This window comes from Homo sapiens, chromosome 3, assembly GCF_000001405.40.
Source record: "Homo sapiens chromosome 3, GRCh38.p14 Primary Assembly".
Taxonomy (NCBI): domain Eukaryota; kingdom Metazoa; phylum Chordata; class Mammalia; order Primates; family Hominidae; genus Homo; species Homo sapiens.
In genome coordinates this window covers 155,462,287-155,489,534 of record NC_000003.12, presented here as the reverse complement: position 1 = coordinate 155,489,534, position 27,248 = coordinate 155,462,287, and the positions used below count along the sequence as shown (strand labels likewise).

General features: G+C 39.6%; 1 protein-coding gene and 1 long non-coding RNA gene across 21 annotated transcripts in view; one reads left to right on the top strand and one right to left on the bottom strand.

Moving 5' to 3' along the window:
- The window catches only part of PLCH1 (phospholipase C eta 1), a 294,138-nt gene that overhangs the window by 255,537 nt on the left and 11,353 nt on the right, over positions 1-27,248 (top strand). For 9 of the 20 annotated variants that reach the window (XM_017005925.2, XM_005247238.2, XM_011512562.4 and 6 more), the window contains 5 exons: positions 729-875; positions 1,428-1,507; positions 3,329-3,388; positions 3,825-4,179; positions 6,484-9,654. In XM_017005925.2, the coding sequence (XP_016861414.1) occupies positions 729-875; positions 1,428-1,507; positions 3,329-3,388; positions 3,825-4,179; positions 6,484-8,567 (2,726 nt within the window). In that variant the 3' untranslated portion in view covers positions 8,568-9,654. Of the gene's footprint in view, positions 1-728; positions 876-1,427; positions 1,508-3,328; positions 3,389-3,824; positions 4,180-6,158; positions 6,187-6,483; positions 9,655-27,248 lie in introns of those variants that run through there. The other 11 variants (XM_047447746.1, NM_014996.4, XM_005247239.2 and 8 more) reach the window with 6 other exon arrangements.
- Positions 2,414-3,732, bottom strand: PLCH1-AS2 (PLCH1 antisense RNA 2). Its single transcript, NR_146955.1, has 2 exons — positions 3,486-3,732; positions 2,414-2,574 (listed from the first exon to the last, which is right to left on the bottom strand). It is a non-coding gene; the product is annotated as a PLCH1 antisense RNA 2 (long non-coding RNA).

Here is a 27,248-nt window from a genome sequence, read left to right as displayed (position 1 = left end):
GCCTTGTGTGGCCTTGGGCACATTATTGTCTATGAACATCAATTTTCTCAACTACAAAATGTCTTATAAATACTGATATTCCCTACTTTAAAAGATGAGTGTTACTTGTACAGTTTTTGAAAGTAATATATTTTTGAAAGTCAGTAATATATATTTTTTAATTAGAAAGAAACAAAAACCAAAACCCTGCTCTACTCTAAAAACTCTAAACATCCTCTAAAAAAAACTTAGAGAATTGCTATAAGAAATAAGAGGATGTATGTACAATAGGAGTTGAAACCTGCAAATGCACCTTATAAAATGGTTGTTGGTGGTTATTACAGCAGCAGGATCTTTGGTGCATGAGAAGCATAATTCTGTTGGGAGAGGATATCATTCTTTATTGTTTTGTCTAAAACATTATTCTTAGATCACTACTATAGATAATTTTTTAACTTATTGAAGCATTCTGAATACTAAAGAGCTTCTCTACAATACAGTTAGGCATCAAAGATTAATAGATTTGATGTGATAATTTACAGGCAATTTTCTTACCAATTATTTTCTAGCAAGGGGGTAAATTTCGAGGCTTTATTCCAGTAAGGCATCCTTGAGTGTGGCTTAGTTGTCTTCATGAGTTTAATAACCATTGCAAGCAATTTTCACCGTCTGCTTTGCAGATGTTGCTGCCAACTCATTTTCAGCCAAGTCCTTTGCTTTTCTGATTTTTCTTTTCCTATTTCTCTGAGGATTTAACCCTGTGTGGGAAGAAACACTGACATTTACAGTACACATGCCAGAAATAGCTTTGGTTCGGTTCCTTGTGTGGGATCACGATCCCATTGGACGAGACTTTGTTGGACAAAGAACTGTGACCTTCAGCAGCTTAGTGCCTGGTAGGTATGAGCTGGCCTTTTCTCTCTAGACTGACCATTCCTTTTTATTTGGAAGACGTAATATATGATATGTTACTTACATAATAGCATACGTGATAAAATATGTGTCATGTAATAAATGTGACTTTTAACAAACTTTGTAAAATGTAAAGGAGTATAGTTGGGCTGGGTGCAGTGGCTCACACCTGTAATCCCAGCACTCTGGGAGGCCGAGGTGGGAGGATCACCTAAGGTCAGGAGTTCGAGACCAGCCTGACCAACATGGAGAAACCCCGTCCCTACTAAAAATAAAAAATTAGCCGGGTGTGGTGGTGCATGCCTGTAATCCCAGCTATTCGGGAAGCCGAGGCAGGAGAATTGCTTGAACCCAGGAGGCGGGGTTTGCAGTGAGCCAAGATCATGCCACTGCATTCCAGCCTGGGCAACAGAGCAACACTCTGTCTCAAAAAAAAAAAGAACTACAGTCAAGTCAGATACTTAATTTTGTTGCACCCATGAGAAAGCCAAATGCAAGTTCAACTAAAAAGAAACGACTCTCTTTCCTTTTATCAGGCTACCGGCATGTCTATTTGGAAGGACTGACAGAAGCATCCATATTTGTACACATAACCATCAATGAAATCTATGGAAAGGTGAGAAAGATCATAGGATTTAAAGTCATATACATTAATATGGTCCTTAACAATGCTACTGATTAATTGCATAATAGGAATGTAAATTTTGACAAACTGTTCTTGAACCAAAAACTCTAAGGAGGCCCAGCAAGCCCAGTCTGCTATTCCAGTCATGTCCTGATCCACCTGTACTCTTTTCACTATTTAAGGTGTGTACTCATTTCTTCTATACAGGGGCCCTCTCTGGGCTTAATAGAATTGAGAAAACTATTATTCTCTCAGGCAGTAATCTGTTGGGCTAAAACAATGAAGATATAGTTAAATGTTGAGTTTTATTTTAATCCTTAAAAAGACTCAACTGGCCTCAGTGGGAAATGCAGTGTCTCAGATGGTTGATGAGTTACCTGTACTAACTGGGCTGTGATCCCAGCGACTTCTAGGCAGGCTACATTCATTTGGTACCAATGTTTTTAACTGAAAATCTAAAAATTGTGAATGGATTTTAAAGCTACCTATAGGACTGAAAAGGCGACCATGTAAATGCATTCTAGTTCTTTCCTGATGCTGTTGTCTTGGTTATAGAACTCATTTGAGGTTTACAAATCAATAGGTTGTCCTCTGGTCATGTCAAGTAATTGGGGACTTGGTTACCAGTATGAATTTTCAGGACCACACGGGATTTGGAGGGACTGTTAAAGCATTGAATGGGGCCTAGAAATGTCCCGTGCTCTTTGCCAGAAAATCTGTATAGCTGGAAGCTTCCTCATCTGTGAATGTGGGATAAAAATAATACCTATCTCATAAATAAATATATATCTTATCCTTAGAAAGCTGCCTGGTACGCAGTAAATGCTCAGAAATGTTGGCTAATATTAATGTTATTATGACTACAACCTAACTAATAAGGAATGGACCATTTCAGCATGAATTAGGGAGTGTAAAGTTTATTTTCATATCTGTCAGCAAGGGCGTGGAGGTGGGGGTAAGGATCCTAATTTCTAAGACTCGTGAAGTTTTATACCATAACTTCCTGTGTTTAGTCCTGGATTTCTGTTTGTGCTGCTTGTTGGGGTCTTGCCTCTCATCTAAGTAGACACAAATGTAAATAATTCAAAAATGATTCTTGAATTCTAGGAATCCCAGGTTAACTACAGATTATCTCTAGCATTTATCACATTGAGGGAAACAATTACATTCTGAATTTGTTTAAAACTTGAGCCAGGGCCAGGCGCGGTGGCTCACGCCTGTAATCCCAGCACTTTGGGAGGCCGAGGCGGGTGGATCATGAGGTCAGGAGATCGAGACCATCCTGGCTAACAAGGTGAAACCCCGTCTCTACTAAAAATACAAAAAATTAGCCGGGCGCGGTGGCCGGCGCCTGTAGTCCCAGCTACTCGGGAGGCTGAGGCAGGAGAATGGCGTGAACCCGGGAAGCGGAGCTTGCAGTGAGCCGAGATTGCGCCACTGCAGTCCGCAGTCCGGCCTGGGCGACAGAGCGAGACTCCGTCTCAAAAAAAAAAAAAAAAAAAAAACAAACTTGAGCCAGAAATAAATTAAAATCTGAAAGTGTTCTATATCACCTCCATCTTCTCTGCTAAATAAATGTCCATTTATGAGTCATACTCTTTATTCCTTTCAAGATGTGTTCGGGTTGGGATCCACACATCACAGTGTAGTGGATATTGGTTGAACAATGAATGAGCATAAGACTAAAAATCCCCAAAACTAAGAGAAAGGGTTTATAGACATGTATGCATTTTTTCTTTTGTGTTTACTTGTGACACCCTCTTCAATGAGCCCCAATTGTGTTTTGTTGTGTTTTGTTTTTTTCCTTTACAGTGGAGCCCTTTAATACTCAACCCCAGTTATACTATATTGCACTTTCTAGGAGCTACAAAGGTAGTTTCTCAGCATGGTGCTTTGTTCTGGCTGGCATATTTCTTTTTAAGTGGTTATGGCAGCATGCTTTTTCATATCACTCCATCTTCCTGCTTACCACTTTGAAACATGCATCTGTTGCTTTAAGGCGCCTGAAGTTCATAGCAGTCTATGAGCTGTGGAGACTTTTCCTACCACTTTGTCATCTCTGGGTAGGAAACTTCTGGGAAAGCTTGATGTAAGAATGGAAGGCTGAAGTCCTTGCAAAGTAAGGTTGATAAGATGTGCATGAAGTTGTGCAAACATGCTGTGAGCTGCTGCTTTCTTGGTTTGAATATATTTCAATGGCTGTACGATTTTGGTTTATATTCATTTTTCATGGAGCTGTCATTTTCAAGGCAAGTTGTTGATGTGATGGCATTTGCTTAACTTGTGGTTGGTTCTTTTGTGTCTTCAGAACAGACAACTCCAGGGTCTGAAGGGACTGTTCAATAAGAATCCTAGGCACAGTTCTTCAGAAAACAATTCCCATTATGTACGGAAGCGATCCATTGGAGATAGAATTCTGCGACGCACAGCTAGCGCCCCAGCCAAAGGCAGGAAAAAGAGCAAAATGGGCTTCCAAGAAATGGTGGAGATAAAGGATTCTGTGTCCGAGGCCACAAGAGATCAAGATGGCGTGCTGAGGAGGACCACACGCAGTTTGCAAGCACGCCCTGTCTCTATGCCTGTTGACAGAAACCTTCTGGGAGCTTTGTCGCTGCCTGTATCTGAAACAGCAAAAGACATTGAAGGAAAAGAAAACTCTCTAGGTAAGATGCTTTAAGTTTCTCTGAGAATAAACCCTTCTAGGCTGCATGTCAGTCCCTGTTTACCATTATGAAGTGGCTGACATTCTGTAGTCAAAGTAAAATATACTGAAAAATAAATACTTTGTAATGTGATCTTCCAGACCAGAAGATTTTAAACTTTGGGGGCCAGGTAGATCCATTTCCTCCTCACCAAGAGCTTCATAATATCAACATCTGAAATTGACAGTGAGGGATAGGGGAGCCATTAGGTGTGATGGCACAGAGAGGAAGATGAAACCTGCAAAATAGGATTTGAAATATTGATTTTCCAAATGAGTGCCATATTTACTGATTTGTTTTGAGGGTGAATATAGTTGTATTACTTTTCTTACCATATAACACATTTCCATGATTGGAAATGTTTATGGAGAAAGAAAGCCAGATGTTAAAAACGAGCCACCTTTTTCAAAAACAGGCAAATCTTTTTTCTCAAGATGTGGCTCAGGCAGTGTTTTCCTGTGGCCTCACTTCCCTGATCCTTGGATGCTGACAGAGATAGAGGTGTGCCTGCAGCTTCAGCACGGTTGTGGGCTCCACAAGCATAGGGACCAGGTGCTGCCTGTCTTTTTCCTTAATTTGAGTGTATCATTGACTCATATCAGGAGCTCAATAAAGAGTGAAGACCGCCTTGCAGTGTGCCAGAGAATTTTTGACTGATGTTGGTGACTCCCAACCCATCCTATCTGGGGGTAAATTTAAGCGCCAAAACTGTGTGCATTTGATATCTCTGCAACAAATATGTTTTAATTAAATCAGAATCATCTCAGACAAGTAAAATGTGGTACTGATTTCCTTTAGCAAAATTATTCTTTTAACTTTTATCAAATGGTCTAATTTCAGTGCTCTCTTTTCCCACAAACACCATTTTACTTGTATTGATTTTTGTTACAAGATATTCTTCAGTGGTTTATTTGAAGGAGAAAAAGAACATTTAAAAGCTTGAAATTTTGCTAAGAGCAGTGTCAGAGAAGAGATAAAACATGTGCCTTAAAATGTATTTTAAAACCCCATCTTTGGGAAAAATAAAGCTATATTCAGTAGAAATTGGTTCTATCTGTTAATGCCACAGTTAAGATGTTAATACCATTAAGGTGAGTTAGAAAGCAATTTTGAGGTAATGTTTCTTGTCTACTTTTAAAAAACAGTTATATAAATTAGTCATGTGTATTAAAGTTTCGGTAAATATAAAACAATACATAGTTATGTTGCATTAAGTACAGAAAAAGCAGACTACAAAATTCTATATATTATTCTGTTCCTCTGCAAAATCTTACAGTGGCTGTCTCAGTGGTAACATCATATGGTATTTAATTTTTTCTTTATAATTTTTTGAGGTTTTCAAAATTTTTATGATGAATATTTTTAGTTTGGAAACTATTTAATAACAAGTTGAACAAGTTCTTTTTCTTATATATCATGACTCTGAAAGCATTAAATTATTAAAATAATCTGATGAAGAATTGAATACCTCATACTCTCCTAGCAGTATACTAACCATGATGGGCTATCCCAAATTACTGTGAATTGTGTTTTTATGGTTTTCCTTTACTGTGCCTGACAACTTACTGCCACTTTTAGGGAAGGATGCAATATGAAATTTGTGTATTAAAAAGAAATATATGATTAACAAAAAATTAGATATTAGCAATGACATGGAATTGATGACCAATTTTTATCTTTACATTTTAACTCAACAGATATTGATATTTTAATGCATTTATTGCACCTTCCAATTATTTTAGAAATTAATTGACTAAATTAAATATGCTCCCAAAATGTTTTGAAAATGATATTATTATGTTTTTCTTCTTTTCTTCTTTTTTTGTTTTAACTAATACATGTATAACTTTGAAAGCTTATAGTATCTTGCTTACAGGTACCACAATGCTTTGTTTAACAGAGCTGTCTTGTTCTGTTTCTATTGCCATGCTTCTGTGTAGTACAAATCTGAATAGGAAACAACTTAAGGTAATCCTCACTGTAAAAGTATGGTAACTCATTGACATTTTTTTGACAATGAATATTACATCCTTAGCAGATGTAATAGATATTCAAAGGGAAGCTCCAGTGAAATTCCTATAAATATATTTTACCATTTATTCATCACACAGACACTTTGTTGCAAACCTATGCAATCCATAATTATATTCTGTCACAGTGTAACAGATTTACATTCTCCATTTGTCTGTCCGAAGACAACATGAGTGTTTGCAGGTCCTACATAAAGTGATAGATGTCACCTAAAATATTGTTTGTCTCCTTCAGCAGAAGATAAAGATGGCAGAAGAAAAGGGAAAGCAAGTATAAAAGATCCACATTTTCTAAATTTCAACAAAAAGTTATCATCCTCCTCCAGTGCTCTGCTCCACAAAGATACCAGCCAAGGGGACACCATTGTATCTACTGCCCACATGTCAGTCACAGGAGAACAGCTGGGCATGTCAAGTCCTAGGGGTGGGAGAACCACATCAAATGCCACAAGCAATTGCCAGGAAAACCCCTGTCCCAGCAAGTCTCTCTCCCCAAAGCAGCATTTGGCTCCCGATCCTGTAGTTAACCCCACACAAGATCTGCATGGTGTGAAAATCAAGGAAAAGGGTAATCCTGAGGACTTTGTGGAAGGGAAAAGCATCTTGTCAGGAAGCGTCCTTTCTCATAGCAACCTAGAAATTAAGAACCTGGAAGGTAATAGGGGTAAGGGCCGAGCTGCAACATCCTTTTCTTTGTCAGACGTCTCCATGCTCTGTTCTGACATACCTGACCTACATTCAACTGCAATTCTGCAGGAGAGTGTAATTTCCCATCTTATTGACAATGTCACTTTAACAAATGAGAATGAGCCGGGCAGTTCCATCTCAGCCCTGATTGGCCAGTTTGATGAGACCAACAATCAGGCTCTCACAGTTGTTTCTCATCTTCATAATACCAGTGTGATGTCAGGCCATTGTCCCTTGCCTAGCCTGGGCCTAAAAATGCCCATCAAGCATGGTTTTTGCAAGGGAAAATCCAAGTCTTCCTTCCTGTGCTCATCTCCGGAGCTGATAGCACTCTCGAGTTCTGAGACCACCAAACATGCAACGAACACAGTTTATGAAACTACCTGCACTCCCATCTCTAAAACCAAACCAGATGATGACCTTTCTAGTAAGGCCAAGACAGCGGCCTTAGAAAGCAACCTGCCTGGATCCCCTAATACTTCTCGTGGCTGGTTACCAAAAAGTCCTACCAAGGGAGAAGACTGGGAAACACTGAAGAGCTGCAGCCCTGCCTCTTCCCCTGATTTGACCCTGGAGGATGTAATAGCTGATCCCACTCTCTGTTTCAATTCTGGGGAGAGCAGCCTTGTGGAAATTGATGGAGAATCAGAAAATCTTTCTCTAACAACCTGTGAATATAGGAGAGAGGGCACAAGTCAACTTGCTTCTCCTTTAAAACTCAAGTACAATCAGGGTGTGGTAGAACACTTTCAAAGAGGTTTGAGAAACGGCTACTGTAAAGAGACCCTCCGCCCTTCTGTCCCTGAAATATTCAACAATATTCAAGATGTCAAAACTCAAAGTATTTCTTATCTAGCCTATCAGGGTGCTGGCTTTGTGCATAATCATTTCTCAGATTCAGATGCAAAAATGTTCCAGACCTGTGTGCCCCAGCAATCTAGTGCTCAAGATATGCATGTCCCTGTACCCAAGCAGTTGGCACATCTTCCTTTGCCTGCTCTGAAACTGCCTAGTCCTTGCAAATCCAAAAGTCTGGGGGACTTAACATCAGAGGACATTGCCTGCAATTTTGAGAGCAAGTACCAGTGTATTAGTAAGAGTTTTGTTACAACTGGCATTAGAGACAAGAAGGGCGTGACTGTGAAGACAAAGTCGTTAGAGCCTATAGATGCCCTGACCGAGCAGCTTCGGAAGCTTGTGTCCTTTGACCAGGAAGACAACTGCCAAGTGCTATATTCAAAGCAGGATGCCAATCAGCTCCCCCGGGCACTGGTCAGGAAGTTGTCATCCAGAAGTCAGAGCAGAGTGCGCAATATTGCTAGTCGTGCCAAGGAGAAACAGGAAGCCAACAAGCAGAAAGTTCCAAACCCCAGCAATGGGGCAGGAGTGGTTCTTAGAAACAAACCCTCAGCACCCACCCCTGCAGTGAATCGCCACTCCACCGGCTCCTACATCGCAGGCTACCTGAAGAACACGAAAGGGGGTGGCCTTGAAGGCCGGGGCATCCCAGAGGGGGCATGCACGGCTCTTCACTATGGCCACGTTGACCAGTTTTGTTCAGATAATTCTGTTTTGCAGACTGAGCCAAGCAGTGATGATAAACCAGAAATTTATTTTCTTTTGAGACTGTGAATTATTTAAAACTGCATTCTTAAGGTTTTCAAGGTATTCTGTAGAATGTCAGAGTTTTCAGTAAATAAGTTCCTTGGCTTTGGAATGATTTTCAAATGTATTTTTAAACTTGTATTTGGGTCTCCCTTTGACTTCATGTGTTCTCCCTGTTAATGCGTTTGTATATAGATTTGGTGACATTTCCCATGTACCTATTATGATCTTTCTCCCTTGAGTTGTTGTAAACTGTATCAGTATGAAATATGTGCATGCCCTAGATGTGAAACTCCTCAGCAGCTCGGGTTATAATGTGTGTGTGTTTCACCAAGATGTCCTTTACTGTGTCCTCAGATTGCAGTCACAAATGTAGTCATTTTTACTCTCTAACTGTTGAGTTGATTAAGAGACTTTGCAAACGACAAAGGGATGAATTCCTTACTTTAATCTGTTATCATTTTTCCTATGTTTCCCTCTTTGTTCAGAAGCCCAGATGCATTTTTATAACTCAGTTTTAAAAACTTTAAAATAGTTACCTTGCCTTTTAGGATGTTCTTATCCCACCCATAATGAGAGTTGAAAGGGGATGGATAGCTGCTCCCCATGCCCTTCCCACTTTTTGGAATAGGCCGTGAGGGTGTGAGGAAGAAGGCTGTCTTTTGTACATAAGGACAAAATTGTTTGTTTTACATAAATTTTGTTACATATTTTTGCTAATGGCTTTGTATGTAACAAGAAGCGAGTTGCCAAACTACCTGTTGTACTTTTGAATTTTCTGATTGAATTACAGACTGCGAACAACGGCTTTCAGAATGAGGGACTTCCATCAGACTCTAATGATAATAGTAGCACAAATTGAAAACTTCCCCAAAGCTTTCACAGAATATTTTCTCATAATAAAATCCAAGTGAACAGATAATTAGAAGAAACCCTTTTCCTTCAGGGAACCAAGCAACTCTATTTTAGTACTGACATGCATTATTTTCACTGTGAATTCACTTTTTTATTGCATGTTCAGATGTCCCTCTTTGTTTTTTTTTTTTGTAACATTAACTGCAATGATGTTCTTCCTGGAATTCATGAAAATATAATTAAAACACATTTTTAAACACTTGGTGAACTTTTTTTACAATTGAAATTCATATGATGACTATTGAGTTAAAGCACTCAGCACTCTGACATCCTTTCCATGTGTTTGCGACAAAATAGAAAGCTATCACAGAGGACAGTTTTAAGCAGCAATTTATGTCTCTGAGTGTTTTCCTTATGCTTTAAAGAGCATATTTGTGAGGCGACTTGAAAGAAAATCAAATGTAATGAGTTTCCTTGCATTTGGCATTGCTATTGCAAGTTTAAAAATAAGCCTTCTGAACTGGTTGTGGTGGTGGGTGGTGGGAGGGAAGCGGTGGTAGTGGTGGTGGTGGTGGTGGTCGTGGGTGGGGGAGCTACGTGGGGAAGGCAAGTGAGAGGTTATGTTTGGCAAGTGAAATTGTCTGAAGCTTTGCAATGTGAGGGAAGAGTGCAGAGGAGAACACTTGGTCCCTGGTTCCCTTGGTCCCCAACTCTGAGCTTTTCCCCAAGGTTGGGGGTCCTTTATTTTCTGGACAGGCACTGGGAGTCTGGTTGGGGGCTGATGTGTAATGATGAAAGGGTAAGTGACCATTTCTATGCCCTTAGTGAGCCCAAGGCATTTTTGTTTTCTTGGGAGTTCTGAATCTCCTAATTCTATCCTTAGACCTTGGTTTGTTTTTAAGGTATCCTTGTTTTAGAAGGGATTGACATGCTGTACAGCTGTTAAAATTCACTTGCCAAAGAATAGAATTTAGCTGCCCTTTAGGATTTGACGGTATCTTTGTTCTAAAACAAATCCAGGAGTTTACATTTGTTTTGTTTTGTTCCTTTAGGGTAAACACTGACATTTTATGGACTAGAATTATGAGATCCCCAAAATTGTGGGAAGTGAAATACAAGCAATTTCAGAAAATAGGTTGGGAATGTTTCTAGCACAAAGAAAAGACAAATATTTAAGGTGTTAGATATCCCAGGTACAGTGATTTGTTCTTTATAAATTATATGAATGTACTAAATTATCATATGTACCCCCCTCCCAAAAGAAGAAAATAGGTTGGATGCACAGTACTTCTGGCTGTCCCAGGAAATACTCATTTTCCTTTGCTCCTTAAAGTTCTTAAATGGAAATATTTGATAAGCAAATTTGATAATGGACTGGGATTAAATCAAGTTCATTTCACACATGAAAAAACTGAGGCTCAGAGTAATTATTAATTTAATTAAATAAGCTTAATTACATTAAGTGTAATCCATTAGCACATTCATTTAGCTGATGCTTTCCCTTTAAAAAAAACAAAAAACACATATTATTTCTTGGTTAATATTGAATTTAAATCCTCTTCCTTTTTAAATTTTTTTATTATTTAATTTGTGTGGGTACACAGTAGGTGCATATATGTATGGAGTACATGAGATGTTTTGATATAGGCATGCAATGTGAAATAAGCACATCATGGAGAATGGAGTATCCATTTCCTCAAGCATTTATCCTTTGACTTACCCATTGACTTACGAACAATCCAATTACACTCTTTATTTTAAAATATACAGTTAAGTTATTATTGACTATAGTCATCCTGTTGTGCTATCACATAGTAGGTCTTATTCATTCTTTCTATTTTTTTTGTATTAATTAGCCATCTTCACCTCCCTACTCCCAGTCTCCCACTACACTTCCCAGCCTATGTAACTATCCTACTCTCTATATCCATGAATTCAATTGTTTTGATTTTTAGATCCCACAAATAAGTGAGAACATGCAATGTTTGTTTTTCTGTGTCTGGCTTATTTCACTTAACCTAATGATCTCCAGTTCCATCCATGTTGTTGTAAATGACGATCTCATTCTTTTTATGGCTGAATAGTACTCCATTGTGTATATGTACCACATTTTCTTTATCCATTCATCTATTGATAGACACTTAGGTTGCTTCCAAATCTTAGCTAAGGTAAGCAGTGCTGCAACACACATAGGAGTGCAGAGATCTCTTTGATATAATGATTTCCTTTCTTTTGGGTATATACCTAGAAGTGGTATTGCTGGATCATATGATAGCTCAATTTTTAGTTTTTTGAGGCACTTCCAAACTGTTCTCCATAGTAGTTATGCTAATTTATATTCCCACCAACAGTGTACAATGGTTCCCTTTTCTCCACATCCTCATCAGCATTTGATTTTGCCTGTCTTTTGGATAAAAGCCATTTTAACTGGGGTGAGATGATATCTCATTGTAGTTTTGATTTGCATTTCTCTGATGATCAATGATGTTGAGCACCTTTTCATATGCCTGTTTTCCATTTGTATGTCTTCTTTTGAGAAATGTCTATTAAAATCTGTTGCCCATTTTTTGATCAGATTATTAGATTTTTTTCTATAGAGTTGTTTGAGTTCCTTATATATTCTGGTTACTAATCCCTTGTCAGAGGGGTCATTTGCAAATATTTTCTCCCATTCTGTGTGTTGTCTCTTCACTTTGTTCATTGTTTCCTTTGCTGTGCAGAAGCCTTTTAACTTGATGTGATCCCATTTGTCTGTTTTTGCTTTGGTTGCCCGTGCTTGTGGGTATTTCTCAAAAAAATTTTGCCTAGACCAATGTCCTGGAAATTTCCAATATTTTCTTGTAGTCATTTTATAGCTTAACATCTTAGATTTGTCTTTAATTCATTTTAATTTGATTTTTGTATATGGCGAGAGGTAGGGGTCTATTTTCTTTATCTTGTATATAGATACCCAGTTTTCCCAGTACTGCTTATTGAAGAGACTGTCTTTTCCTTAGCATATGTTCTTGGCACTTTTGTTGAAAATGAGTTCACTGTAGGTGTGTGGATTTGTTTCTGCATTTTCTATTGTGTTCCATTGATCTGTGTGTCTGTTTTCATGCCAGTACCATGCTGTTTTGGTTACTATAGCTCTGTAATATAATTTGAAGTCAGGTAATGTGATTCCTCTGGGTTTGTTCTTTTTGCTTAGGATACCTTTGGCTACTCTGGGTCTTTTGTGGTTCCATATAAATTTTAGGATTATTTTTTCTGTTTCTGTGAAGAATGTCATTGGTATTTTGATAGGGATTGCATCGAATCTGTAGATTGCTTTGGGTAGTGTGGATATTTTAATGACATTGAGTCTTCCAATCCATGAATATGGAATATTTTTCATTGTTCGGTGTCCTTTTCAATTTCCTTCATCAGTGTTTTATAGTTTTCATTATAGAGAGCTTAATATGTGGCTATTGTAAATAGGATTACTTTAATTTTTTTCACATTGTTCACTGTTGACATATTGAAATGCTACTGATTTTTGTATGTTGATTTTGTATCCTGCAACTTTGCTGAATTTGTTTATCAGTTCTACTAATTTTCTTGTGGAGTCTTTAGTTTTTTCTAAATATAAGATCATATCATCCTTAAACAAGGATAATTTGACTTCTTCCTTTTCAATTTGGATGCCCTTTATATCTTTCTCTTGTCTGATTGCTCTAGCTAGAACTTTCAGTACTATGGTGAATAACAATGGTGACAGTGGGCACCCTCATCATGTTCCAGATCTTAGAGGAAAGGCTTTCCAGTTTTTCCCCCATTCAATATGATACTAGCTGTGGGTCTGTTGTATATGACTTTTATTACTTTGAGGTATGTTCCTTCTAGCCTCAGTTTTATCATAAAGGGATGTTAAATTTTATCAAATACTTTTTCAGCATCAATTGAAATTATCATATGTTTTTTATTCTTTATTCTATTGATATGATGTATCATACTGATTGATTTGCATATGTTGGACCATCCATGGGTGATAAATCCCACTTAGTCATAATGAATGATCTTTCTAATGTATTGCTGAATTGGTTTGCTAGTATTTTGTTACGGATTTTTGCATCAATATTCATCACAGATATTGGCCTGTCATTTTCTTTTTTTGTGTCTTTTTCTGGTTTTTGTGTCAAGGTAATACTGGCTTCATAGAAAGAGTTTGGAAGTGTTCCTTCTTCCTCTATTTTCTGGAATAGTTTGAGTAGGATTGGTGTAAGTCATTCTTTAAATGTTTGGTAGAATTCAGCAGTGAAGCCATCAGTTTGCAGGCTTTTCTCTACTGAGAGACTTTTTTATTACAGCTTTGATCTCATTACTTGTTATCAATTTGTTTGGGTTTTGGATTTCTTCCTGGTTCAATCTTGGTAGGTTTTATATATCTAGAAATTTGTCAATTTCTTCTAGATTTTCCAATTTATTGGCATGTAGTTGCTCATGGTAGCCACTAATGGTCCTTCGAATTGCTGCAATATCAGTTGTAATGTCTCTTTTTTCATTTCTCATTTTATTTATTTGGATCTTCTCTCTTTTTTCTTAGTCTGGCTAAAGGTTTGTCAATTTTGTTTACATTAGAAAACACTAACTTTTTGTTTTATTGATCCTTTGTAATTTTTCCCACTCTAATGTTGTTTATTTGTGCTCTGATCTTTATTATTTATTTTTTTCTACTAATTTTGGGTTTGGTTTCCTTTGCTTTTCTGGTTCTTTAAGATGCATTGTTAGATTGTTTATTTGAAGTTTTTCCTCTTTTTAAATGTAGGCACTTATAGCTCTAGACTTCCCTCTGAGTGCTGCTTTTGCTGTATCCTGTAGGTTTTGGTAAGTTATATTTCCATTATCGTTTTCTAGATCCTGTAGAAATTTTAAAATTTTCTTCTTAATTTCTTTTTGAACCAGTGGTTATTCAGGAACATATTGTTTAATTTCCATGTATTTGTATAGTTTCCAAAATTTCTCATTATTAATTTTTAGTTTTATTGCATTGTGCTCAGAGAAGATGCTTGATATTATTCCATTTTTTTGTCTTTTTTTTTTTTTAATACTTTAAGTTTTAGGGTACATGTGCACATTGTGCAGGTTAGTTACATATGTATACATGTGCCATGCTGGTGCACTGCACCCACTAACTCGTCATCTAGCATTAGGTATATCTCCCAATGCTATCCCTCCCCCCTCCCCCCACCCCACCACAGTCCCCAGAGTGTGATATTCCCCTTCCTGTGTCCATGTGATCTCATTGTTCAACTCCCACCTATGAGTGAGAATATGCGGTGTTTGGTTTTTTGTTCTTGCGATAGTTTACTGAGAATGATGGTTTCCAATTTCATCCATGTCCCTACAAAGGACATGAACTCATCATTTTTTATGGCTGCATAGTATTCCATGGTGTATATGTGCCACATTTTCTTAATCCAGTCTATCATTGATGGACATTTGGGTTGGTTCCAAGTCTTTGCTATTGTGAATAATGCTGCAATAAACATACGTGTGCATGTGTCTTTATAGCAGCATGATTTATAGTCCTTTGGGTATATACCCAGTAATGGGATGGCTGGGTCAAATGGTATTTCTAGTTCTAGATCCCTGAGGAATCGCCACACTGACTTCCACAATGGTTGAACTAGTTTACAGTCCCACCAACAGTGTAAAAGTGTTCCTATTTCTCCACATCCTCTCCAGCACCTGTTGTTTCCTGACTTTCTAATGATTGCCATTCTAACTGGTGTGAGATAGTATCTCATTGTGGTTTTGATTTGCATTTCTCTGATGGCCAGTGATGATGAGCATTTTTTCATGTGTTTTTTGGCTGCATAAATGTCTTCTTTTGAGAAGTGTCTGTTCATGTCCTTCGCCCACTTTTTGATGGGGTTGTTTGTTTTTTTCTTGTAAATTTGTTTGAGTTCATTGTAGATTCTGGATATTAGCCCTTTGTCAGATGAGTAGGTTGCAAAACTTTTCTCCCATTTTGTAGGTTGCCTGTTCACTCTGATGGTAGTTTCTTTTGCTGTGCAGAAGCTCTTTAGTTTAATTAGATCCCATTTGTCAATGTTGGCTTTTGTTGCCACTGCTTTTGGTGTTTTAGACATGAAGTCCTTGCCCATGCCTATGTCCTGAATGGTAATGCCTAGGTTTTCTTCTAGGGTTTTTATGGTTTTAGGTCTAACGTTTAAGTCTTTAATCCATCTTGAATTGATTTTTGTATAAAGTGTAAGGAAGGGATCCAGTTTCAGCTTTCTACATATGGCTAGCCAGTTTTCCCAGCACCATTTATTAAATAGGGAATCCTTTCCCCATTGCTTGTTTTTCTCAGGTTTGTCAAAGATCAGATAGTTGTAGATATGTGGTGTTATTTCTGAGGGCTCTGTTCTGTTCCATTGATCTATATCTCTGTTTTGGTACCAGTACCATGCTGTTTTGGTTACTGTAGCCTTGTAGTATAGTTTGAAGTCAGGGAGTGTGATGCCTCCAGCTTTGTTCTTTTGGCTTAGGATTTCCTTGGCGATGCGGGCTCTTTTTTGGTTCCATATGAACTTTAAAGTAGTTTTTTCCAATTCTGTGAAGAAAGTCATTGGTAGCTTGATGGGGATGGCATTGAATCTGTAAATTACCTTGGGCAGTATGGCCATTTTCACGATATTGATTCTTCCTACCCATGAGCATGGAATGTTCTTCCGTTTGTTTGTATCCTCTTTTATTTCCTTGAGCAGCAGTTTGTAGTTCTCCTTGAAGAGGTCCTTCACGTCCCTTGTAAGTTGGATTCCTAGGTATTTTATTCTCTTTGAAGCAATTGTGAATGGGAGGTCACTCATGATTTGGCTCTCTGTCTGTTATTGGTGTATAAGAATGCTTGTGATTTTTGTACATTGATTTTGTATCCTGAGACTTTGCTGAAGTTGCTTATCAGCTGAAGGAGATTTTGGGCTGAGACAATGGGGTTTTCTAGATATACAATCATGTCATCTGCAAACAGGGACAATTTGACTTCCTCTTTTCCTAATTGAATACCCTTTATTTCCTTCTCCTGCCTAATTGCCCTGGCCAGAACTTCCAACACTATGTTGAATAGGAGTGGTGAGAGAGGGCATCCCTGTCTTGTGCCAGTTTTCAAAGGGAATGCTTCCAGTTTTTGCCCATTCAGTATGATATTGGCTGTGGGTTTGTCATAGATAGCTCTTATTATTTTGAAATACGTCCCATCAATACCTAATTTATTGAGAGTTTTTAGTATGAAGGGTTGTTGAATTTTGTCAAAGGCTTTTTCTGCATCTATTGAGATAATCATGTGGTTTTTGTCTTTGGCTCTGTTTATATGCTGGATTACATTTATTGATTTACGTATATTGAACCAGCCTTGCATCCCAGGGATGAAGCCCACTTGATCATGGTGGATAAGCTTTTTGATGTGCTGCTGGATTCGTTTTGCCAGTATTTTATTGAGGATTTTTGCATCAATGTTCATCAAGGATATTGGTCTAAAATTCTCTTTTTTGGTTTTGTCTCTGCCCGGCTTTGGTATCAGGATGATGCTGGCCTCATAAAATGAGTTAGGGAGGATTCCCTCTTTTTCTATTGATTGGAATAGTTTCAGAAGGAATGGTACCAGTTCCTCCTTGTACCTCTGGTAGAATTCGGCTGTGAATCCATCTGGTCCTGGACTCTTTTTGGTTGGTAAACTATTGATTTTTGCCACAATTTGAGCTCCTGTTATTGATCTATTCAGAGATTCAACTTCTTCCTGGTTTAGTCTTGGGAGGGTGTATGTGTCGAGGAATTTATCCATGTCTTCTAGATTTTCTAGTTTATTTGTGTAGAGTTGTTTGTAGTATTCTCTGATGGTAGTTTGTATTTCTGTGGGATCGGTGGTGATATCCCCTTTATCATTTTTTATTGTGTCTATTTGATTCTTCTCTCTTTTTTTCTTTATTAGTCTTGCTAGTGGTCTATCAATTTTGTTGATCCTTTCAAAAAACCAGCTCCTGGATTCATTAATTTTTCGAAGGGTTTTTTGTGTCTCTATTTCCTTCAGTTCTGCTCTGATTTCAGTTATTTCTTGCCTTCTGCTAGCTTTTGAATGCGTTTGCTCTTGCTTTTCTAGTTCTTTTAATTGTGATGTTGGGGTGTCAATTTTGGATCTTTCCTGCTTTCTCTTGTGGGCATTTAGTGCTATAAATTTCACTCTACACACTGCTTTGAATGCATCCCAGAGATTCTGGTATGTTGTGTCTTTGTTCTCGTTGGTTTCAAAGAACATCTTTATTTCTGCCTTCATTTCGTTATGTATCCAGTAGTTATTCATGAGCAGGTTGTTCAGTTTCCATGTAGTTGAGCGATTTTGAGTGAGATTCTTAATCCTGAGTTCTAGTTTGATTGCACTGTGGTCTGAGAGATAGTTTGTTATAATTTCTGTTCTTTTACATTTGCTGAGGAGAGCTTTACTTCCAAGTATGTGGTCAATTTTGGAATAGGTGTGGTGTGGTGCTGAAAAAAATGTATATTCTGTTGATTTGGGGTGGAGAGTTCTGTAGATGTCTATTAGGTCTGCTTGGTGCAGAGCTGAGTTCAATTCCTGGGTATCCTTGTTGACTTTCTGTCTCGTTGATCTGTCTAATGTTGACAGTGGGGTGTTAAAGTCTCCCATTATTAATGTGTGGGAGTCTAAGTCTCTTTGTAGGTCACTCAGGACTTGCTTTATGAATCTGGGTGCTCCTGTATTGGGCGCATATATATTTAGGATAGTTAGCTCTTCTTGTTGAATTGATCCCTTTACCATTATGTAATGGCCTTCTTGGTCTCTTTTGATGTTTGTTGGTTTAAAGTCTGTTTTATCAGAGACTAGGATTGCAACCCCTGCCTTTTTTTGTTTTCCATTTGCTTGGTAGGTCTTCCTCCATCCTTTTATTTTGAGCCTATGTGTGTGTCTGCACGTGAGATGGGTTTCCTGAATACAGCACACTGATGGGTCTTGACTGTTTATCCAATTTGCCAGTCTGTGTCTTTTAATTGGAGCATTTAGTCCATTTATATTTAAAGTTAATATTGTTATGTGTGAATTTGATCCTGTCATTATGATGTTAGCTGGTTATTTTGCTCGTTAGTTGATGCACTTTCTTCCTAGTCTCGATGGTCTTTACATTTTGGCATGATTTTGCAGTAGCTGGTACTGGTTGTTCCTTTCCATGTTTAGCGCTTCCTTCAGGAGCTCTTTTAGGGCAGGCCTGGTGGTGACAAAATCTCTCAGCATTTGCTTGTTTGTAAATTATTTTATTTCTCCTTCACTTATGAAGCTTAGTTTGGCTGGATATGAAATTCTGGGTTGAAAATTCTTTTCTTTAAGAATGTTGAATATTGGCCCCCACTCTCTTCTGGCTTGTAGGGTTTCTGCCGAGAGATCCGCTGTTAGTCTGGTGGGCTTCCCTTTGAGGGTAACCCGACCTTTCTCTCTGGCTGCCCTTAACATTTTTTCCTTCATTTGAACTTTGGTGAATCTGACAATTATGTGTCTTGGAGTTGCTCTTCTCGAGGAGTATCTTTGTGGCGTTTTCTGTATTTCCTGAATCTGAACGTTGGCCTGCCTTGGTAGATTGGGGAAGTTCTCCTGGATAATATCCTGCAGAGTGTTTTCCAACTTGGTTCCATTCTCCCCATCACTTTCAGGTACACCAATCAGATGTAGATTTGGTCTTTTCACATAGTCCCATATTTCTTGGAGGCTTTACTCGTTTCTTTTTATTCTTTTTTCTCTAAACTTCCCTTCTCGCTTCATTTCATTCATTTCATCTTCTATCGCTGATACCCTTTCTTCCAGTTGATCGCATCGGCTCCTAAGGCTTCTGTATTCTTCACGTAGTTCTCGAGCCTTGGTTTTCAGCTCCATCAGCTCCTTTAAGCACTTCTCTGTATTGGTTATTCTAGTTATACATTCTTCTAAATTTTTTTCAAAGTTTTCAACTTCTTTGCCTTTGGTTTGAATGTCATCCCGTAGCTCAGAGTAATTTGATCGTCTGAAGCCTTCTTCTCTCAGCTCGTCAAAGTCATTCTCCATCCAGCTTTGTTCCGTTGCTGGTGAGGAACTGCGTTCCTTTGGAGGAGGAGAGGCGTTCTGCGTTTTAGAGTTTCCAGTTTTTCTGTTCTGTTTTTTCCCTATCTTTGTGGTTTTATCTACTTTTGGTCTTTGATGATGATGATGTACAGATGGGTTTTTGGTGTGGATGTCCTTTCTGTTTGTTAGTTTTCCTTCTAACAGACAGGACCCTCAGCTGCAGGTCTATTGGAATACCCTGCCGTGTGAGGTGTCAGTGTGCCCCTGCTGGGGGGTGCCTCCCAGTTAGGCTGCTCAGGGGTCAGGGGTCAGGGACCCACTTGAGGAGGCAGTCTGCCCGTTCTCAGATCTCCAGCTGCGTGCTGGGAGAACCACTGCTCTCTTCAAAGCTGTCAGACAGGGACATTTAAGTCTGCAGAGGTTACTGCTGTCTTTTTGTTTGTCTGTGCCCTGCCCCCAGAGGTGGAGCCTACAGATGCAGGCAGGCCTCCTTGAGCTGTGGTGGGCTCCACCCAGTTTGAGCTTCCTGGCTGCTTTGTTTACCTAAGCAAGCCTGGGCAATGGCGGGCGCCCCTCCCCCAGCCTCGCTGCCGCCTTGCAGTTTGATCTCAGACTGCTGTGCTAGCAATCAGCGAGACTCCATGGGCGTAGGACCCTCCGAGCCAGGTGCGGGATATAATCTCGTGGTGCACCGTTTTTTAGGCCGGTCCGAAAAGCGCAGTATTCGGGTGGGAGTGACCTGATTTTCCAGGTGTGTCCATCACCCCTTTCTTTGACTCGGAAAGGGCACTCCCTGACCCCTTGCGCTTCCCAAGTGAGGCAATGCCTCGCCCTGCTTCGGCTCGCACACGGTGCGCACACCCACTGACCTGTGCCCACTGTCTGTAACTCCCTAGTGAGATGAACCCGGTACCTCAGATGGAAATGCAGAAATCACCCGTCTTCTGCGTCGCTCACGTTGGGAGCTGTAGACCGGAGCTGTTCCTATTCGGCCATCTTGGCTCCTCCCCCTATTATTCCAATTTTTAAAAATGTTTTAAGACTTGTTTTGTGACCTAACATATGGTCTGTCCTTGAGAATGACCCATGTGCTAAGGAAAAGAATGTGGATTCTGCAGCTCTTGGATGAAATGTTCTGTAAATACCTGTTAGATCTATTTTGTCTGTAGTGCGGATTAAGTCTCATGTTTCTTTGTTGATTTTCTATCTGGAAGATCTGTCTAATGCTGAAAGTGGAGTGTTGATGTCTCCCACTACTATTGTATTGGGGCCTAGCTCTCTCTTTACCTCTAATAACATTTGCTTTATATATCTGGGTGCTCCTTTGTTAAGTGTTTAAACATATATGTTTAAATTTGTTATATATATGTTTAAAATTGTTATATCTTCTTGCTGAATTGACCCCTTTGTCATTATGGAATGACCTTCTTTGTCTCTTCTTATAGTTTTTGTCTTGAAATCTATTTTGTCTGATGTAAGTATAGTGACTCCTGCTCTTTTTTGGTTTCCATTAGCATGGAATGCCTTTTTCCATCCGTTTATTTTCAGTCTATGTGTGTCCGTGTAGGTGAAGTGTGTTTCTTGTAGACAGCAGATCAGTGGGTCTTGTTTTTCATTATTCAGCCAGTCTGTCTTTTGGAGAATTTAGCCCAAGTACATTCAATGTCATTTTTAGGACTTACTCCTCCCATTTTGTTGTTCGTTTTCTGGTTGTTTTGTGGTCTTCTCTTCCTACTTTCTTTCCTTTCTGTCTTCCCCTAGTAAAGGTGATTTTCTCTGGTGATATGATTTAGTTTCTTGCTTTTTATTTTTTTGTGTATTCTTCGTATGTCTTTTGCTTTGAGGTTACCATGAGGCTTGCAAATACTATCTTATAACCCATTATTTTAACCTGATAGCAACATTATTTGCATAAACAAACAAGCAAAAGGAAAACTAATGAAAACTTTATGCTTTAACTTCATACCCCCACTTTTTAACTTTTTGTCATTTTTATTTATATCTTATTGTACTGACTATGTCTTGAAAAGGTGTTTTAGGTATTATTGATTGGTTCCTCATTTAGTCTTTCCACTTAGGATAAGAGTAGTTTACAAAACACAGTTATGGTGTTATAATGCTCTGTGTTTTTCTCTGTACTTACTATTACCAGTGAGTTTTGTGCCTTCGGATGATTATTTATTTCTCATTAATGTCCTTTTCTTTCTGACTGAAGTATTCCCTTTAACATTTCTTATAGGACAAGTCTGGTATTGAGGAAGTCCATCAGCTTTTGTTTGTCTGGGCAAGTCTTTATTTCTCCTTCATGTTTGAAAGATATTTTTGCCAGTTATACTATTTTAGGGTAAGAGTTTCTTTTTCCTTTAGCACTTTAAATATGTCATGCCTCTCTCTCCTGGACTGTGAGGTTTCCACTGAAAAGTCTGCAGCCAGATGTATTGTAACTCTATTGTATGTTATTTATTTTCTCTTGCTGCTTTTAGGATTTTTTTTTTTTTTGAGACAGAGTTTTGTTCTTATCACCCATGCTGGAGTGCAATGGCATGATCTTGGCTCACTGCAACCTCTGCCTCCCAGGTTTAAGTGATTCTCCTTCCTCAGCCTCCAAAGTAGCTGGGATTACAGGTGCGCACCACCACGTCCAGCTAATTTTTGTATTTTCAGTAGAGATGGGGTTTCACCATGTTGGCCAGGCTGGTCTCGAACTCTTGAGCCCAGGTGACCCACCCACCTTAGCCGTCCAAAGTGCTGGGATTACAGGCGTGAGCCACCGCACCTGGTCTAGGATCCTTTCTTTATCTTTTTTATTTTTTTTTTTTGGTCAGAAGACTTCTACTGAAGATCTTTCTTTATCCTTGACTTTTGGGAGTTTAATTATTAAGTGGCTTGAGGTAGTCTTCTTTGGGTTAAATCTGCTTGGTGTTCTATAACCTTTTGTATTTGGATATTGATATATTTCTCTAGGTTTAGGAAGTTCTGTTTTTATGCCTTTGAATAAACTTTCTACCCCCTATCTCTTTCTCTACCGCTTCTTTAAGGCCAATAACTGTTAGATTAGCCCTTTTGAGGCTATTTTCTAGATCCTGTAGGCATTCTTCATTGTTTTTTATAATTTTTTTCTCCTCTGACTATATATTTTCAAATAGCCTGTCTTCAAACTCACTAATTCTTTTGTCTGCTTGATCAAGTCCACAATTAAAGAACTCTGATGCATTCTTTGGTATGTCAATTGCATTTTTCAGCTCCAGAATTTCTGCTTGATTTTTCTAAATTATTTCAATCTCTTTGTTATGTTTATCTAATAGAATTCTGAATTCCTTCTCTGTGTTATGTTGAACTTCTTTGAGTTTCCTCAAGACAGCTATTTTGAATTCTCTGTCTGACAGGTCACATATCTCTGTTTCTACAGGATTGGTCCCTGGTGGCTTATTTAATTCCTCTGGTGAGGTAATGTTTTCCTGGATGGTGTTGATGCTAGTAGATGTTCTTCAGTGTCTGAGCATTGAAAAATCAGGTATTTATTGCAGTCTTCACTGTCTGAGCTTATTTGTAGGCATCCTTCTTGGAAAGGTTTTCTAGGTATTTGAAAGAATTTGAGTGTTGTGATCTCAGCTGTGTCTGCTTTAGAGGGCACTCCAAGCCTAGTAACAGTGTGGTTCTTGCAGACTCATAGAGGTACCACCTTGATGATTTTGGACAAGATCCAGGAGAATTCTCTGAATTACCTGGCAAAGACTCTTGTTCTTTTCCCTTACTTTCTTCTGACATACAGAGTTTCTCTCTCTCTCTCCTCTGTTCTAAGCCACGTAAACCTGGGGGTGAAGACCACCCCTGTAGTCACCACTGCTATGACTGCACTGGGTCAGATCCAAAGCCTGCACAGTGCTGAGTCTCACCTAAGGCCTACTGTGACCACTCCCTGGCTACTGCCTATGTTTGCTGAAGGCCCTGGGGCTCTACAGTCAGCAAGTGGCAAAGCCAACCATGCCTGGGTCCCACCTTTCAGGGCGGTGAAATCTCATAGACCCTAGGTGGGCCCAGAGGTGCCTTCCAGGAGTCAGGAACTGGAGTCAAAAACCTCAGAAATCTATCCGGTGTTCTGTTGTATTGTGGCTGCATTGGCACTGAAACCACAAGATGCAGTCCTTCCCACTCCTCTTCCCTCCTTTTTCCAAAGGCAGAGGAGCCTCACCTTGTAGCCACTGCCACCCCAGGCCATGAGGAGTACTGTCAGACTACCACCAATGTTCCCTTAAGCCCGAAGGGTCTCTTAAGTCAGTTTGTTATGAATGCTGCCTGGCCTGTGAGTCCCTCTTTAGGGCACTGGGCTCCCCTCTGGCCCAGGGCAGGTCCAGAAATGCTGTCTAAGAGTCAAGTTCTAGAATTGGGAACCCCAAGAACCTGCTTGGTGCTGTATCTCCCTGTGGCCTTGCTGGTACATAAGATGCAAGAGAGAGTCCCTTTTACTTTTCCCTCGCCTTTCTCAAGCAGAAGGAGTTTGCCCATAGCCACCACAGCTGGTAATGCTCTGAATTTTACCTAAAGCCGGCAAGTCTCAGAGGCTCACCCAAGGCCCTTGACATAATACCTAGGTATCGCTGCTGTTCATTTGGGGTCCAAGTACTCTTCAGTTAGCAGGCGATGAATGCTGCTGGTACTGGTCCTTTCCTTCAAGGCAGCAGGTTCCCTCTAGCCCAGGGTATGTCTAGAATGTCATCTGGAAGCTAGTGTTTGGAACAGGGGTCTCATGACTCTGAGTGGTACCATCTGCTGTGGCTGAGCTTGTATCCTAGATGTAAGACAGTCCTCCCCACTCTTCCTTCTCCTTTATATTTACATTTGGATGTTAACTCTGCCTTGAGGAGATCTAGTCATAAGATAAATGACTGGGACAAAGTGGTGGTTTATCAGACCAATCCCTCTAGTGCCCATGTGTGTCTGTCACTCTTTTTTTTTTTTTTTTTTGAGACAGAGTCTCACTCTGTCACCCAGCCTGGAGTGCATTGGCATGATCTCGGCTCATTGCAAGCTCCACCTCCCAGGTTCACACCATTCTCCTGCCTCAGCCTCCCCAGCAGCTGGGACTACAGGCACACGCTGCCACGCCTAGCTAATTTTTGTATTTTTAGTAGAGACGGGGTTTCACTGTGTTAGCCAGTATGGTCTCGATCTCCTGACCTTGTGATCCACCTGCCTTGGCCTCCCAAAGTGCTGGGATTATAGGCATGAGCCACCGTGCCCGGCTGTCACTCTTACATGTAGTATTATTCTACTAATAGGACATTGGAAGAGAAGAGGAAGCAATTTTACAATTATCATTTGGAGATTGCCTAATAAGGAAGAGGCAGTAGTAAAGCTTAAATTTTAATAAAAGCTTTGGATTCATCAGGGTTTCACTTATCAGGAGGGATGGAAAAGGGACTCATTCGGTCACAAGGCACTCACACAAGTGAGGTCTCAATCAAGATACTAACAGACTTCCTGATTTTTTTTTTAATAGAACTGCAGAATCCAGGAAGTACCTAGTCTCTGCAAAATCTACCTAGAGCAAACCTGTAAAATTTCAAAGTTTTCTCATTTGACTCCTTTCCTAGAGGCTTCAGGGCATGTTTTAAGACTGAACAGTAACAAGTGGCTGGGGGAGTTGCCTGCAGCAGTGCTATATCCACAGAGGACAGAAGCAAAGCTTCTGAATATAAATATAATCAACCCACCTTTTCCACTTAAAAATTTTTAGTGGTTCTCCACAACTTACAGAATAAGGTTCCATAAGCTTGCATAGAGAGTCTTTGATTTGTGTTTCTGCAGCCTGGCTTCCTCTGCCTTAGATTGCCCTTTCCTCTTTTGCCCAATGCATTCTTCAAGATGCATCCTGGAAGATCTCTTTCCCTAGGGAGCCTTTCCTGATCATCATCTCCTCTTCCTTTATTGTCTCCAACCCATCAAGAATTACACAATCTCATTTGAGGACCTCCAATGCACCTGTGAAACCCTGGGTTCCACTTCATTGTAGGGATCTCTTCACATGTCTGCCTTCTCCACTAGACCTAGACTTCCCTAAGGGCATGACCATGCCTTGTCCCTTTTCCCTAGCTCAAAGCCTGGTACCCATGTGCATTCAGTAAACATCTGATAAACTGATGAATCAGGGAACTTAGGGAAAATGTGAGAGTAAACAGTCTACTATCCCAGTTTGCTGTATGCCTAGAAGGAGGAAGAAGCACAGGATCTTGTTCCATTTTTTGTGTGTGTGGTGATGACTAAATTTATCTTTTTATATTTCTCTTTGGTTCTCTCATTTCTCGGTTTCCATCCAGTCCATTTTTTTCCTCTCGCTTTTAATTTAGTGACTAGTCATTTGCCATGTGTAAGAGTAACTGATATTTGTATAGGATTCTGTAATATAAAGAGACTTTTGTACATAGTGCATCTCATCTAGACCTTATGACAATTTTGTGAGGAGATGATGTTACCCCCACTTCATAGATTCCAGAAATGAGTCTCATTGAACTTGTGATTTGCCCAAGGTCATGAGGGATAAGAAGTAGCTGAGCAAGGTTATTCCAACTCCTACGTTAGTCCTCTTTCCCCTACACACCATTGCCTTTTCTGAAGAGTTTAATAAACATATAGTTAACATCTAGTCTGGGCTAGGTACTCAGCTGGGTGTTAGTGTTATGATAATAAGGACTTATCTTTATTATCAGACTTAGCACCTGGTAGAGGTGCTGAGATAAAATATATTGGTTTTGTTCTAAATGTCCGAACAATTAGAAACATATCACCTATGGTAGTTGAAAATATAAGAGAGAAAGTTTTGTTGCTGTATATATGACATACATGAATTATCCACTTTTTCTTTTGACTGAAGTACCTATTTCACTGGGGGGTGGGAGTGCATTCCCAAAGAAGCAAGAATGACAGTAATAGAGAATTGAGGCAGAGACAGGAGAGGAAATACAAAGGGATGAGTTACTGAGCTGACCATAGCTTTACAACAAAACCAGCTAGATAACTGGATTTACAGGATGTCTCCAGAGTAGCCATACGAAAAGACTGCCTCTGAGAGAAGTTCGCTGTAGGGAAGGATGAGAGATCTTCTGATATCTTTCCTATCTACTTTCTTTTAGTGGTGAAGTCTACCCTAAAAGGCACTCACTTCCTGTATTTCCAGGTTGTGTTACACAATCCCTCCAGGCATCCACTGGGGAGCCAGAACCCTGGGGTGCAGTGCACTAGTCTCTCCATGCCAGCTGGGGCTGCATGTGGGGACTCCTCAGTGTATGGTGTCAGTGACAGTGGCAGCAGCAACAGTAGCTGGGACTTAACCACTGTGCGAGTAGCTGAGTAGCTGAAACAATGCAAACGGTTGACTTTGAGTGGGATGGGGTGGGTAGGGATGAGAGGAGCTGGTGTGATACATAACCTGGGTCTGATATGCTGCATCTCTTGCACTAATTCTATTTTCTTGCATATTAGTATATACCAAATGTTGTACGAGAACAAGATATTTTTCACTATTTCCTCAAGAAGGGAGGGGCAAGGCCAGTCCTTCCAGATCGTGGTCAGTTTCAATCCCCTAAACAACATTTAAAGATGGGCAAATCAAGCTGCACTCCACTGCTGCAGCTGGTTCAGGGTCATAGCTGATACTCACCATCTCTGTTGTCTCTCACCTATTCTTATTTCCCACATCTTCAGTCAGTAGTCAGCTGCTTAATCCCTAATGGATGTCAACCGTCAGTTGTTTTCCTCTGTCACATAATAGTTGCTGCAGGTGCCCATTT